Source organism: Homo sapiens, chromosome 1 (genome assembly GCF_000001405.40).
Source record: "Homo sapiens chromosome 1, GRCh38.p14 Primary Assembly".
NCBI lineage: Eukaryota > Metazoa > Chordata > Mammalia > Primates > Hominidae > Homo > Homo sapiens.
Genome location: NC_000001.11, coordinates 195,716,620 through 195,731,347, shown reverse-complemented (window position 1 = coordinate 195,731,347; position 14,728 = coordinate 195,716,620). Strand labels below are relative to the sequence as shown.

The 14,728-nt window shown below is 37.2% G+C and overlaps 1 long non-coding RNA gene across 1 annotated transcript in view, besides 1 other annotated feature; it reads left to right on the top strand.

The window, feature by feature from the left end:
- The first annotated feature begins 9,448 nt into the window (after positions 1-9,448).
- LOC105371671 (uncharacterized) overlaps positions 9,449-14,728 on the top strand; it is a 147,500-nt gene continuing 142,220 nt past the window's right edge. Inside the window, exon 1 of the long non-coding RNA XR_922391.1 lies at positions 9,449-9,528. This is a non-coding gene — a long non-coding RNA (uncharacterized LOC105371671). The remainder of the gene's footprint in view (positions 9,529-14,728) is intronic.
- Positions 10,304-10,833: an enhancer, noted in NCBI's record as "H3K27ac-H3K4me1 hESC enhancer chr1:195689645-195690174 (GRCh37/hg19 assembly coordinates)". NCBI's record gives its function as "activates a minimal SCP1, AML or CMV promoter by ChIP-STARR-seq in primed H9 embryonic stem cells {active_cell/tissue: H9 hESC(primed)}" and the evidence as "EXISTENCE:reporter gene assay evidence [ECO:0000049][PMID:30033119]".

Genomic DNA, 14,728 nt, shown 5'->3' with positions numbered 1-14,728 from the left:
TTAGTTCCTACTCCTATAATAGTTAACTATCAAAAGCTCTGCAACAGGTTTCAAAGTTGAAGGAGAGGAGACAACCTATGGAATAAAATCTGTTCTTTGTGGTTATAAAGAAATGCTAGAGGAAAAAAAATCTGTCTTTTATCATTCATAGTCAGGGAACAGAGGTTGTAAACTATGTCTAGGCAGGGACCAAGTCTGTTGTTTTCATTGTTGTGTCCTAGGCACCAACTATAATGTCTCAGTAATTATTTTTAGATTAATAATCAGAAATTCAACTTTTTATGTCTAGAAAATATTTCTTTTTATATAATGCCGTTTTATATAATGGCAAGTGTGATATAAAATAAAAATCACAGAAGAAATAACAAACTGTCATTTAATGTGCCACTTTGGTTCGAATATACATATTTTGCATGTATTATAGTAATACAAAGAAAATAATAATCAAAGACAATATTTTATTTAAATTAGGTATTTTAGAAATAGAAATACAATTCACTACTATTATAGGTGTATATAAGGCAGCATCAGCTATGTTTAAGCAATATTCTAAATTGTAAAATGTCATGTAAACTTGAATTTGTAAACTAATTTTTGCTCCTGCAGAAACGGATGAAACATATGTTGAGACCTAGTATGAGAAACAAATGCTTTCTGTTTCCTAGTAATTGATTCTATTATAAAATATTCCCCACTTCTAGAACTTTCAAGAGCAGCAAGTTCAAAGAACTTAGAGTATGCATTTTATAATAAAATATATAAGTATGTTTATAGTCTTAAAAAGAGATCTTTTATAGATCTTAACAAAACTTCGATGAAATTCCTCAAATACCATTGTACTTAAGTAATTGGTTAGAACAGTATAGGAAGTAGTATTAGTAAAGCTAACACAAAGAAAATATAAGAACCTACTCAGCATCAGGATAGAAACCATAGTATAAAAATACCAACACCTTTTATTTAATTAAAACAAATTTTTTTGAGACAGGGTACTTGGTCTGTCACCCAGGCTGGAGTGCAATAGTGCAATCTTGGCTCTCTGTTACCTTCATCTCCTAGGCTCAAAGGATCCTCCTGTCTCAGCCTTCCAAGTAGCTGGGACTACAGGCATGTGCCACCACACCTGGCTAATTTATGTATTTGTTGCAGAGACGGGGTTTTGTCATGCTGCCTAGGCTGGGTCTCGAACTCCCGGACTCAAGCGATCCACCTACCTCTGCCTCCCAAAGTACTGGGATTACAGATGTTAGCCACCGGGCCCAGTCTATATTTCTTTTAAAAAGATTCCACATTTCAACTACCTCTCTTTAAAAGCTATAAATGGTCTTGAAGAGTTTTTGTAGACATTTCTGAGTTTTTTTCTCTCATCATTAGGTGCATAAAATAACTTCTAAAACTTCCAAAAATGACTTCCAAAAACTTCTTCCAAAAATAACTTCCAAAAACTTCTTCCAAAAATGACTTCCAAAAACTTCCATCATCTTTTATGGCTCATTTTACTTTTGTTTATAAACTACCCTCATTCATCAATTTCCGGTGGAGGGTAGCACCACATATACATCATAGACATAACAAAATTATTTTACACTCAGGTACTTTTCTCATGCAAATTGTAAGAGAAGGTAATTAAACATCACATAAACTTTGTTATTTTGGATATACCAATGGTTTGAGCTAATTAAGTGAAGTAATTAAAGACAAGTGAAATCCAGACTGATGAATGCAAGCATAAAACCATACAAAAATTTGCTCTCCAGAATGCTTATATTATGCAATATTCCCTGTGTCAAAATACTATTCTTCCCTATACATATACACAACTGTTATCTATCAATTAAAAATACATTTCTTAATGTTATAAAAATACTATTTTACAGTTCTTTTTAGATATCCTGATATCCTTTTAAGAGGGCAGTAGTGAGTAATATAAAAAAACTGGACTTGCAGTTAGGAAAATTATGTTGTATTGCTAACTAGATAGTAACATGCTGTGAGCCAAGGCAACTGTCTTAAATTCTTCAAAGCTTCTTTAATAATCTACAATATTATGGTATTGAATTAATGTTAATAAGTGCTTTTCAGACATGATTCTCTCTTCTTTCTTTTGATTCCTTAATTACACAATCTGGCTGTGCTTTTAGAATTTTGGGCAACCAGTGTGTGATAAAATGGCATTAATAGAAGAGGCTGCTATCAAATTTTAGTAATTCACCAGAATGGAAACAAACTGGGAGAAATTTGAGAGGAGATAATTATATGATGAAAACTTAAGATTCCACATTTAATAAAAATAAAAGAAAAAGAAAATGAATATATACAACTTTACAATAAAATTATGTTAAATAATATTTAAAAATTCAAATATGTATATTAGAGCCAAATTTCCTTTACTTACTCCTTAACTAATTTCTGCTTATTGGATTTTGGGGGTTTTACTTGAGATTCACATATAAATGACTTTTGTTCACATTTTGTTTCTTGGGCCTCTAAGTTATGGATACCTAATGAGCTATCCTAGTAGGTGTGTTTTCACCTGAACCCCATACTTTTGTCCTAGCAGAATTTAGTGAGAAAAAAACTAACTCTTGTGTAATATTTATGATTTCCAAATTTATTATAAACTTATACTTAATCTTATTTTTGTAAGAACAGTTTTACACAAATTGAGAAAGAATTAGGAATGGTTATTGATCAGCTATCTTAAAATTAAAGACACTATGGACATTAAAAAGTATAATTTAATCTGCATTTCTCTGATTAACCATTTTTTATAAATGAAATTGTGTCTTTTTACTCTTTTCACATAAGATAAGGATTTACTACATTTTGGTTTTACACACAGATTTTCCTGTCTTTAGTTTGAGAACCAAGTTTTTTATGATATGACTAGTTAGATTTATATAAATAGATCAATGCAAGCAAAAATAATATATTATTTCTCTCAAATGATCCCCCTCAAGTCTACCACAATGAGAGTTCTAGGAAAGAGGCATAAGCATAGATAACGTTAGGAACAGTGGCTATTTTGGTTGAGGAACAAGACAAGTAAATCCACTTTATGATTAAGTAATTTGAGCTCTATGCCCCACTTAGGAAAGGAGAGGTTGGAGCAAAGAGGAATTAAACAATTCAAAAAATAATATTATATGAGTTGTCACTGGATAAAAAGGTCGGTTTGGAGGTGGATTTGGTTATTGAAAGGAAGGTGAAACTTGGAGAAAGGTTTGAGGTTAAATAAGGGTTCATGTGAGAAGAAATTCTAGATGAAAAACATGCTGGATGGGATTAATGACAGATGAGACTTTACAGAAGAAAAGCTTAGGAAACTTGAAACAGTAGCAATAGAAACTACTTGAAGAGAAATAAAGATTAAAAAAAAAGACAGCAACATCAAGATCCGTAGGCTACCCACCAACATCTTTTTATATAAGTATCTGGAATTGCTAAAGGAGACAAAAGTAGAGAGAAAATAATTTGGAGACCTAATCTTCAAAGATTTTCCAAAACGATAACCATAAACCCATAGGGCCTAAAACCTCAATGAACCCAAATAGTAAGAAAAACAAAGTTAACTATAAAAGGCATATCATAAGCAAATTACATAAAATCCATAAAAGGGAAAAAATACTTAAAGGAATCAGAGAAAAATACAACTATGGATAGAGGATCAAATATAAAGAAAATGAAGATTTCATGTCAAAACAGTACAAGCTATATGACAGTAAAGCAATGCCTTCAAAGTACTGAAATGAAAATAACTGCCAAATGAGAATTATTTAACTAGTGAAAATATCTTCAAAATACAAAGACAAAATAAAACATTTAGAATACATAAAAAAGTATCCGAAAAAAATCATCAGAAAATTAAAGAAATGCTTCCGGTAGCAGTAAAATGATAACCATATAGTAAATTAGACCCTCACAGAAAAAGGGCACTAAAAATTATAAATATATGTGTAAATATAAATAATATTTTTTGTTATTATTTAAATTTGTGTTAAAGATTGTGACTGTTTAAGCAAAAATAATAACAATGTATTGCGAGGCTTGTAACATGTCAAATATAAAAGTCAAATACATAAAAACAATATCATGTAAGCCAGGAAAGGAGAAATGAAATTACATTGTTGCAAGGATTACATACTATATATGAAGTGGTATATCACATTAACATAGGCTGTGATAATTTGATAAGTTAAAAATGTACACTACACACTATAACATGCCACTAAAATAATAAAATAAAGATTTATAGCTAATAAGCCAACAAACAGCACAAAGTAGGATCAATGAAAACATTTAATTAGTGCATAAGAAGGAAGAAAATTGGAGAAAAAAAGCAAATGACAGATGGAACTTCCAAGTACAAAACAATTAACAAGGTAATTATCACATTAATGATTACATTAATTGTAAGTAGTCTAAATACCCCAATTAAAAGTCGGACTGTGGCCAGGCAGGGTGGCTCACCCCTGTAATCCCAGCACTTTAGGAGGCCAAGACAGGAGGATCCCCTGAGGTCAGGAGTTGGAGAACAGTTTGGCCAACATGGTGAAACCCTGTCTCTACTAAAGATACAAAAGTTAGCTCGTCATGATGGCAGGCACCCGAAATTCCAGCTACTCCAGAGGCTGAGGCAGAAAAATCACTTGAACCCGGGAGGCAGAGGTTGCAGTCAGCTGAGATTGTGCCACTGTACCACTCCAACCTGGATGACAGAGTGAGACTCTGTCTCAAGAAAAAAAGTCAAACTGTCAGACTGCATAAAAAACTATGACCTATTTGTACGCTGCTTATGAGACACCTATTTAAAGCTAAAGATAAAATAGGTTAAAAATAAAAAGACAGAAAAAGATATATCAGGCTAAATCTAAAGATCAGAGAATTCTACCAATTGTGAAAGGCAAAAACGATAGCATTTCTCCTGTCTTCCAGAAAAATTGCTGAAAGCCACAGGCAAAAAATACATAAAGAAATAAAAAATAACAAATCACATACTTGGTAAAGAACATGTGTATAAAATATGTTTAAAAATGTAATAGCTTAATAAAAATAAAATAATAATGCAGACTATTTCATTGATCTATGTACAAATTTTTTCAGCATGGGTAAAGGACTTTCCTTCTAGTCCTAGTTTAGTAATCATTTTTATCATGAATGAATGTTGAATTTTAACGAATGTATTTTCTCTCTCTAGCAAGAGAATTACATCATTTTTCTAGTTTAATCTGTTAATACAGTGAATATACTAACTTTCAAGTGTTAAACCAGTCTTACGTATGCCAGATAAAACTTACTTGGTCATGATATGTTTTTATTTTAATATATTGCTGGATTTCATTTGCTAATATTTTGCTGGAGATTTTCTTTATTTTTATTTTTATTGGTAATAACAGCCTCTAGTTTTCTTATTTTTGTCTTGTTTTTGTGTCAGAGTACTGCAGACCTCATAAAATGAATGAAAACTTTTCCCTAGTCTTTAATTTTTTGGAAAATTTGCATACAATTGGTATTACTTCTTCTACACATGACAGGAAGAAATCTCTATTGAAGACTCCTTGATTTGGAATTTTTGTGGTTGTTGGAATTTTTAAAATTATGAATTCAACTTATTAAAAAATATAGGATTACATAAGCCTAATATAGTGCTATCATTTTAATGTTTATAGCATGTGTTATAATATCCCCTCTTTCACTTATTGGTAATTTGTGTTTTTCATCTTTATTTTGCTCTAAGTGGCTTGATTTAGCAATTATAGTGTATTGTTCTTTCCAACCAACCCCCTATTGGTGTTATTGATTTCCATTATTTAAAAAAAATTAACTGTATTCATTTCTACATGCACTTATTATTTATTTTTGTGTTGTTTAATTTTCTCCTGTTTTTATCTCTATCATTTAAATGGAAGCTTTTTCATTGTTATGCAATATTTTTATTTTCTAATAAATTTTTCTTTACCGGTCAGTTTGCATCACACAGCGTTTATATGTTGTCCTTTCATTAACAGTTTGTTTAAAATATTTTCTAATATCCACTGTTTCTTTTTGACTTGCAGGTTAATTAGAATGGTGATATTTCCTTTCCAAGTATTTGGGTAGTTTAGAGATATCTTTTTGTTCTCTCATCGATTTCCAGTTTAACTATGCTGTGATCAGAAAACATACGTTATATTATTTCTATTATTTCTTTTTTCTTTTCTTTCTTTTTTTTTTTTTTTTGAGACAGAGTCTTGCTCTATTGCCCAGGCTGGAGTGCAGTGGCGCAATCTCGGCTCACTGCAACATCTGCCTCCTGGGTTCAACCAATTCTCCTGCCTCAGCCTCCCCAGAAGCTAGGATTACAGGCATGTGCCACCACGCCTGGCTAGGTTTTGTATTTTTAGTAGAGATGGAGTTTCGCCATGTTGGTCTGGCTGGTCTCAAACTCCTGACCTCAGGTGATCCGCCCTCCTCGGCCTCCCAAAGTGCTGGTATTACAGGTGTGAGCCACCGCATCCAGCCAGCCACCATGCGTGGCCTGTATTATTTCAATTACTTAACCATGATCCAGGATTCAACTTATCTTAATTAATGTTCCATGCCCACTTGAAAATAGTACATATTCTTTCATTGTTGGGTATAGTGTTGCATAAATATAAACTATATCAAATTGGTTGATAGTTTTGGTTGAATATTTTAAATCCCTGCTGATTTTATTGATTCTCCTGGTTACCGAGAAAGGAATGTTAAAGTCTACAACTATAATTTTCTGAGTTGCTACATTTAAAGTAGATGTCTTAGAGACAATATACAGTTGGTTGTGCTTTTCAAAGTTTTAATGTCAATCTCTGTATTTAACTGTAATATTTAGATTATATATTCTTCTTGTAATTATCCATATACTTGGAATAATATATACCAACTTTTTAGTTCTATGGCGTTTTCATTTTATTGGTTCAGTCTCATTCTTAGGCATACCTTTTGTCTAGATTTGGTTTTCTCAGTGATCTTTGTCTTTCTTCCCAAGATAGACAATTCTCTAGAATCTATAACCAGCCTTGTGTCACAAGAATTTTCCAGCTCTTTCACAAGATCCTATCTCAGTGGTCAAGGATGTTTGTCACTCTGGGCTTAAGATGGTTTCTTGTGGTTACTATTCGCCTTGAAGTATATTGATTTTGCTGCTCTTTCTACTGTAACAAAGGCTTCCATTCCACAGGGGAAAGGACGGAATAGAGGTATGTGCCTCTTCTGTAGCAGCAGCTACTTCCCTCCAACACGCCTGCAACACTCTAGGAAACTTCTCTGGTATCCTACCCTGATCTCAATATCTCTCATGAACCCCTGTTGAGGCCAATGAAGAAGAAATTCTTTGTGAGGTCAAATTCCCCTCACGAGTTTCAGGGTTTCTAATTTCTCACTCTAGTCTAGTAATTTGTCACCTGACCTTTAGAAAGTTCTTAAAAGTGTGGCTAAAATCACCAGACCCTCTTTTAAGCCGGACTTCTTTTCATCTTACAGTCTGCTCCAGGGAAGCTCTTGTCTGTCTCTCCTTTAAGTCTTTGTCTGTCTCTCCTTTAAGTCTTTGTCTTTCCTTAGATTTCAAACTAATTGGTTGCCTTGTGACCTTAGGTCTCTAATAAGCTCAAGTAAATACATGATCTTTGTAGTGTAAAAAGAAAGCCTTTAGACAAATTTGACAGTTTGCTTGAACCAAGAATGATTCATGAATTGAAAAGCATTCAGAACCAGAGGAGCTTAGGAGAGCTCCACCCAGCAGCATGAGCAGTAAGCTGTTATAGGCCAAGAAAAGAAACATGTGGGAAAGAGTTTCTGGGATGCCAGATAAGTTGGTCTCCCCTGTGTGAGACACCCATGGGGAGCCATGGGCGGCCTCTGAGGAGAAAAGTCTCCTTGAGAGGTGACAGCGTGCTGGCAGTCCTCACAGCCCTCGCTCACTCTGGTCGCCTCCTCTGCCTGGGCTCCCACTTTGGCGGCACTTGAGGAGCCCTTCAGCCCGCCGCTGCACTGTGGGAGCCCCTTTCTGAGCTAGCCAAGGCCGGAGCCGGCTCCCTCAGCTTGCGAGGAGGTGTGGAGGGAGAGGCGCGGGCGGGAACCGGGGCTGCGCGCGGTGCTTGTCTGCCAGTGCGAGTTCCGGGTGGGCGTGGGCTCGGTGGACCCCGCACTCGGAGCGGCCCCCGCACTCGGAGCGGCCGGCCAGCCCCACCGGCCCTGGGCAGTGAGGCACTTAGCACCTGGGCCAGCAGCTGCTGTGCTCAATTTCTCGCCGGGCCTTAGCTGCCTGCCCACGGGGCAGGGCTCGGGACCTGCAGCCTGCCATGCCTGAACCTCCCCCTGCTCCACGGGCTCCTGTGCGGCCCGAGCCTCCCCAACGAGCACCACCCCCTGCTCCACGGCACCCAGTCCCATCGACCACCCAAGGGCTAAGAAGTGTGGGCACACGACACGGGACTGGCAGGCAGCTCCACCTGCAGCCCCCGTGCTGGATCCACTGGGTGAAGCCAGCTGGGCTCCTGAGTCTGCTGGGTAGGTGGAGAACCTTTATGTCTAGCTAAGGTTCTGTACTAGCTCAAGGTTTGTAAACACACCAATCAGCACCCTGTGTCTAGCTCAGGGTTTGTGAATACACCAATCCACACTCTGTATCTAGCTACTCTGGTGGGGCCTTGGAGAACCTTTATGGCTAGGTCAAGGATTGTAAATGCACCAATCGGCACTCTGTATCTAGCCCAAGGTTTGTAAACACACCAATCAGCACCCTGTGTGTAGCTCAGGGTTTGTGAATGCACCAATTGACATTCTGTATCTAGCTAATCTGGTGGGGAGGTGGAGAACCTTTGTGTCTAGCTCAGGGATTGTAAAGGAACCAATCAGCACCCTGTCAAAACAGACCACTGGGCTCTACCAATCAGCAGGATGTGGGTAGGACCAGATAAGAGAATAAAAGCAGGCTGCCTGAGCTTGCGGTGGCAACCTGCTTGGGAACCCTGTTACACTGTGGAAGCTTTGTTCTTTTGCTCTTTGCAGTAAATCTTGCTGCTGCTCACTCTTTGGGTCCACACTGCTTTTATGAGCTGTGACACTCACCGTGAAGGTCTGTAGCTTCACTCTTGAAGCCAGCGAGACCACGAACCCACTGGGAGGAGAGAACAACTCCAGACGTGCCACCTTAAGAGCTGTAACACTCACTGCGAAGGTCTGCAGCTTCACTCCTGAGCCAGCAAGACCACGAACCCACCAGAAGAGCGAACACATCCGAACATCAGAAGGAACAAACTCCGGACACGCCACCTTTAAGAACTGTAACACTCACCACGAGGGTCTGCGGCTTCATTCTTGAAGTCAGTGAGACCAAGAACCCACCAATTCCAGACACATCCTTATTGCCTTCATGTCTTGATGCCCCGAGAGCATAACAGCTCGGGGCATGCCACGGGTGCGTGGGGAGATAACACTCCCTTGAAGTACTGGAGTATAATCAAACAACTTGGCTCCTGCTGAAACCCGCTCCCACCTGTTTCGGTCCTGGTAAGAGCTTAAGTAGTTTAGACACACGCCTTTGCTCGAGGAAATTGACAGAAACCGCCACTGCTATACATTTTATTGAATGACTCACAAGTTCTCCTTTACTGATTAATTCTTTTCCTCATCCCTTCTTACCTCTCCCATTTGCCCTGAGAACAAAGAGCTTGTAAACCAATAAATTGGGTGGAGGCTGAGAGCTCTGGGCCGTGAGCAAGCCTCTGCTCCGGTCCCCTGGACCTGCCTTTTAAACTCTTATTCTGTCTCTTTCTAATTCCTTTGTCTCTGCTGGACTTGGGGTACCCGCCCGGCGGTGTGGGGCTGGTTTCCCCAACAAAACAAAAAAGGGAAATTGTCTGATTGGCTACAATTAGGTATCTGCCTTATCTGGGTATGGTGTGATGAGGCATTTGCTTTATTTGGGCATAGTCTGATCCTTGGCTACCTGTGATTGCCTGAAGTTCAGCTGTTTGTGTCTGGCTGAAAACCAGCTGTTTGTTACAAGACTATACTAATAAGCATGGTTTTGCCTGCCTGCCTTCCTTCTTCCTTTCCTTTCCTTTCTTCTTCCTTTCCTTGCCTTTCTTCTTTTTTTCCTTGCCTTGCCTTTCTTCTTCTTTTCCTTGCCTTGCCTTTCTTCTTCTTTTCCTTGACTTGCCTTTCTTCTTTTCCTTGCCTTGCCTTTCTTCTTTTCCTTGCCTTGCCTTTCTTCTTCTTTTCCTTGCCTTGCCTTTCTTCTTTTTTTCCTTGCCTTGCCTTTCTTCTTCTTTTCCTTGCCTTGCCTTTCTTCTTCTTTTCCTTGCCTTGCCTTTCTTCTTCCTTCCCTCCTCCTCTCCTTTTTCCTTTCCTTTCCTTGTTTTTTTTTTTTTGACAAGGTCTCAATCTGTTGCCCAGGCTGGAGTGCCCTGGCACAATTACAGCTCCCTGCACCCCTGAACTCCCAGGCTCCCACCTCAGCCTCCCCAGTAGCTGGGACTACAGGCATGCACCACTATACCCGGTTAATTTTTGTATATTTGTAGAGATGTGGTTTCATTGTTTTGCCCAGGCTGATGTCAAACTCCTGGGCTCACGGAATCCACCTGCCTCCACCTTCAAAAATGTTGGGATTATACACAGGAGCCACTGCTCCAGGCCTTGGTTTGTTTTCATAATAAGTTGTGTTACAGTTTGTTACGTAGGAACTAAAAGTATGGAGATAGTCTGTCAATGACTGTCTGCTTTTTAAATTTTACAGTAGATTGTATATTTGTTTCAACCCCCCACCCCCACCCTTGGTAATAGAGTAGAAGTAATGGTCTTCTCAGCTTTTTATATACTAAGCAGAAACTAAAAATGTAGGTGTATGTTCTCAAATTCAGGATGTGGTTACTATTTCTGTCAGATATATTGAATCTTTACAGATTGTACTGGAGTTGATTTTGAGCACATCTTTCATAATTTTTTTAAACTGAAAGGGAGATAGAATTTTCTATTAAATACTTCTTGAGACTTTGAAATAGAAGTTATCTTGAATTTAAAGTGTCTCACACGTCCCTGTGAAGAGACCACCAAACAGGCTTTGTGTGAGCAACAAGGCTGTTTATTTCACCTGGGTGCAGGCAGGCTGAGTCCAAAATGCGAGTCAGTAAAAAGTGATGGGATTATCATTAGTTCTTATAGGTTTTGGGATAGGCGGTGGAGTTAGGAGCAATGTTTTGCGGGCAGGGGGTATATCTCACAAAGTACATCCTCAAGGGTGGGGAGAATTACAAAGAATCTTCTTAAGGGTGGGGGAGATTATATAGTACGTTGATCAGTTAGGGTGGGGCAGGAACAAATCACAATGGTGGAATGTCATCAGTTAAGGCTATTTTCACTTCTTTTGTGGATCTTCAGTTGCTTCAGGCCATGTGGATGTATGCGTGCAGGTCACAGGGGATATGATGGCCTAGCTTGGGCTCAGAGGCCTGACATAAAAGTAAAAACAAATTTCAGAAGCTCTATTCTCTGAAGGAATAGGAATAATTACAAACTTTTTTTAAATAAGAAATATAAATTGGTCATATAAAACAATAATTTTTTAAAAAATTTATTAAGGTAATTACCACAAAGGTTTTGATAGTGTAAAACAAATATACATGAAAAATATGAAAACATCCTAAACAACAAACTTTTGGAGTTCTGAATCACGAGAAGTTGATACATTGACCTCTTAAAGCTGTTTCTACTTTCTTTTTACATGAAAATTACCTGTACTTGGTAATGTCAATTAGTAATTTATGCTAACTTGTTAATTGTTAAAGATTGAGACTTTCTCTTAACTTGGGAATTCATTTTGTTTTCAAACTTTCCCCCAAATAATGAATATTTTAACAAACAACATTTTTGCTATGTTTTTAATTTTTAAAATATACACTTTAAAACAAGCTTTGTTTATCTTTTCTCTAAATAAATCAATGGCTAATTGTAAAATCAATAATCAGACCAACACTTCTATCAGGCCTGCTTATATAGCATTCTAGCTATAGAACATTATCCGAAGCATTCTAGTTTCAGAACAGTCTTAATCACTATGCTATAGTGCCTCTTTGAAAGTTCTTTACATCATATAGATTAGTGGCATTCAATTATTTTTTAAATTTGTTTTTGTTTTGATTTGCTGTTGTTTTTAGCCATGATGCCTTTCCTTAAATGAAAACCTAAGCAATCTAAATAAAATTATACAGATAAAAACTAGTGTAGTTCCTTTGTTGAAAGCAGAGGAGAGGCCCTCGCACTTGGGAACACATTTCTTGGCTCTTTCTTCTCTGAGGTTGCACAGCTCATAAAGGGGCATGCCTCTGTGGGTCACATTTTTAAAATACCAATCCAGGTGAAAACTATTTTTTGAAAAACTATTGAAGGTATCTGGATAGATAAGCAAGCATTTTTTTATTTAGATATATATATATTTAAAAACCATTGCAGTATATAGCATCTTTTTCAGTATCTTTTTCCAGACTTTGACAGGTTCATGAGGCATTATCTATTTCCAGTAGTTAATTCTCATTACTAGTGATTAACAATGATGATGGAAAAACCAAAGATGCCATTTTAATGACAGACATCTGAACGTAATGCTTGCCAGCCTGCCCAGGAGAGTGAGGCTTTCAATCACATTTAAGATGCTCCTCTCGTTAAATTATGCGGTTTATATTCCAGGACCAGTAAGAAAATAAACATATTTGATATTTAAGGAAAACAGGAACACAAACTAAAACTCAAGAAAACAATGAAATATACAGAAAGTGCTGCCATGTCTTCTAACACTGCTGGAACTGTGCCCATTCTATTCCTACCTTGAGGAATCCACACTGAAAGATAAACAAAATTCTGCTGCTGGCAAATGTTCCAAAATGATCACAAACCACATACCCCCTCCTCCACCAGCACCAACTCCACCTTTACCATAGATTTAAGAATTAACAGAATATATGGGACCATAATATTTCTGAGCTACATTGAAAAATGATAGCGATACAGTTTCCTTAAGCACTTCTCAGGTTTGTAGGAAATGTGTTGTTTAGTTGTGTGTTGGATCACATTAATATTGTTTTCCAGATCAGTATTACATGAGCCTGCACCATGAGGTCAGCCTCGGCCTTGTGACTTTGGTCAGTAAGATGTGAGCAGAATTAAGTTGTGTCACTTCTGGGTAGAAGTTTCTAGGGTCTATATAAGTTCTTTTTTTCCTCTTTGCAGTTTCCAGCAATGTCCAGAGATTGGTTGAGTCTGGAGTAAGAAAAAAAAAACATGCAGGATAATTGTGAAAAACATGACAGAGTGGGAAACAAGCACCTTATATTTTATGTCAATGAGATTTGAGAATTGTTTTTACTAAAGGATAAGCTAGCTCATTCACACTGGTATAGGGATAAGATACTAATATGCTGTTTTAGGAACAAAGAAATTTCGGTTTTAAACAGTGGGCAAATAAGATTCTATCATTGACCACTAGAGGATACTGCTTCTCTTTAATCCAGAAACTTTTCAGTCTTTGTTAGCGAAGCTCCAGAGTTCTGTAGAGATGAAATGGAATGGAGGTGGAATGAGAAAGCTTCTGAAGTGGAAAAGTGGACCTCCAATCCATTTTGACCATTTCAGTTCTGCTTTAATCAGTCATCCTGTCCCCCCGTCCATTGAGATTTTATGTAAGAAGTTAATTAACCTAATTTGCCTTCTCTCAATTTCTTATGATGTGTCCTGTTCATAAAAAGACTGTGTGATCAGTAAGGGGAGTATCTTTAGAAAAGTAAAAGTTTGAGAGCAAAGATGTTGTATGGTGTCTTCAGCCCTGGTCCTTAGGGCAGCCTTGCCCAGCAGATGCAGACTCCTCTGGTCACAAGTGCTAATTATTATCATCACCCAACTGTAGTTTCTTTGTGCTTTTCAAGAGGATTTTTCTCCAGAGAATATTTGTGTCAAACAAGGAAAATAAGTGTTACACTTTCTTTTAGAATTACATTTTTATTTATACATTAATGATTTCTCATTTGGTCACGTCAGTCTCCTATGAATTTGGCTAATGTGAGCCATTTCCACTGAGGTCACATTCCCTTAAGCACATGCAAATGTTACAAAAGGGATTCTGGAAGTTTGTAACCTTGTCTCAACCTGTGACCCTGTGAAGCCTTGCCTGGACTGGAGGCTAAATTCCTTATATAACAGGCATCATTTCTGTTTGCTGATCTGTACCTTTAATATAAGGCAGTGTTGTTTATTCTTTAGTTGTTCGTTAACATTTTCTCTACTTTTAGCACAGTAGAAAGCATTGAGAAATGCTGAGCTGAGAAATGAGCTCAGCTCCCACCAGTATATAAATTTCATTTGGAGTTTATCAGATTTTAAGAGTATATATATTATACTCTTAAATCTTTCCTAAAATACTGAAAAATTAATGTGTTATATATATATATATATACACACACACACACACACACACATACACACACACACACATATATATATGTGTCTGAGAAAGATTTATGGTATCTTTGTGCCCTGAACAACTACTGGCACCTCTAAATGTTTCTAACCTTTCAAGAAGCATATTAGCATGAGGAACACTATATGCCAACTTCAGAAATTTCAACCTTCCTAAGATTTTTTATTTAAAAGTATTATTTGAAATACTAAAAGTGTTGTTATTATTTCCTGAAGCACTATACTAAAACAAATCATAATT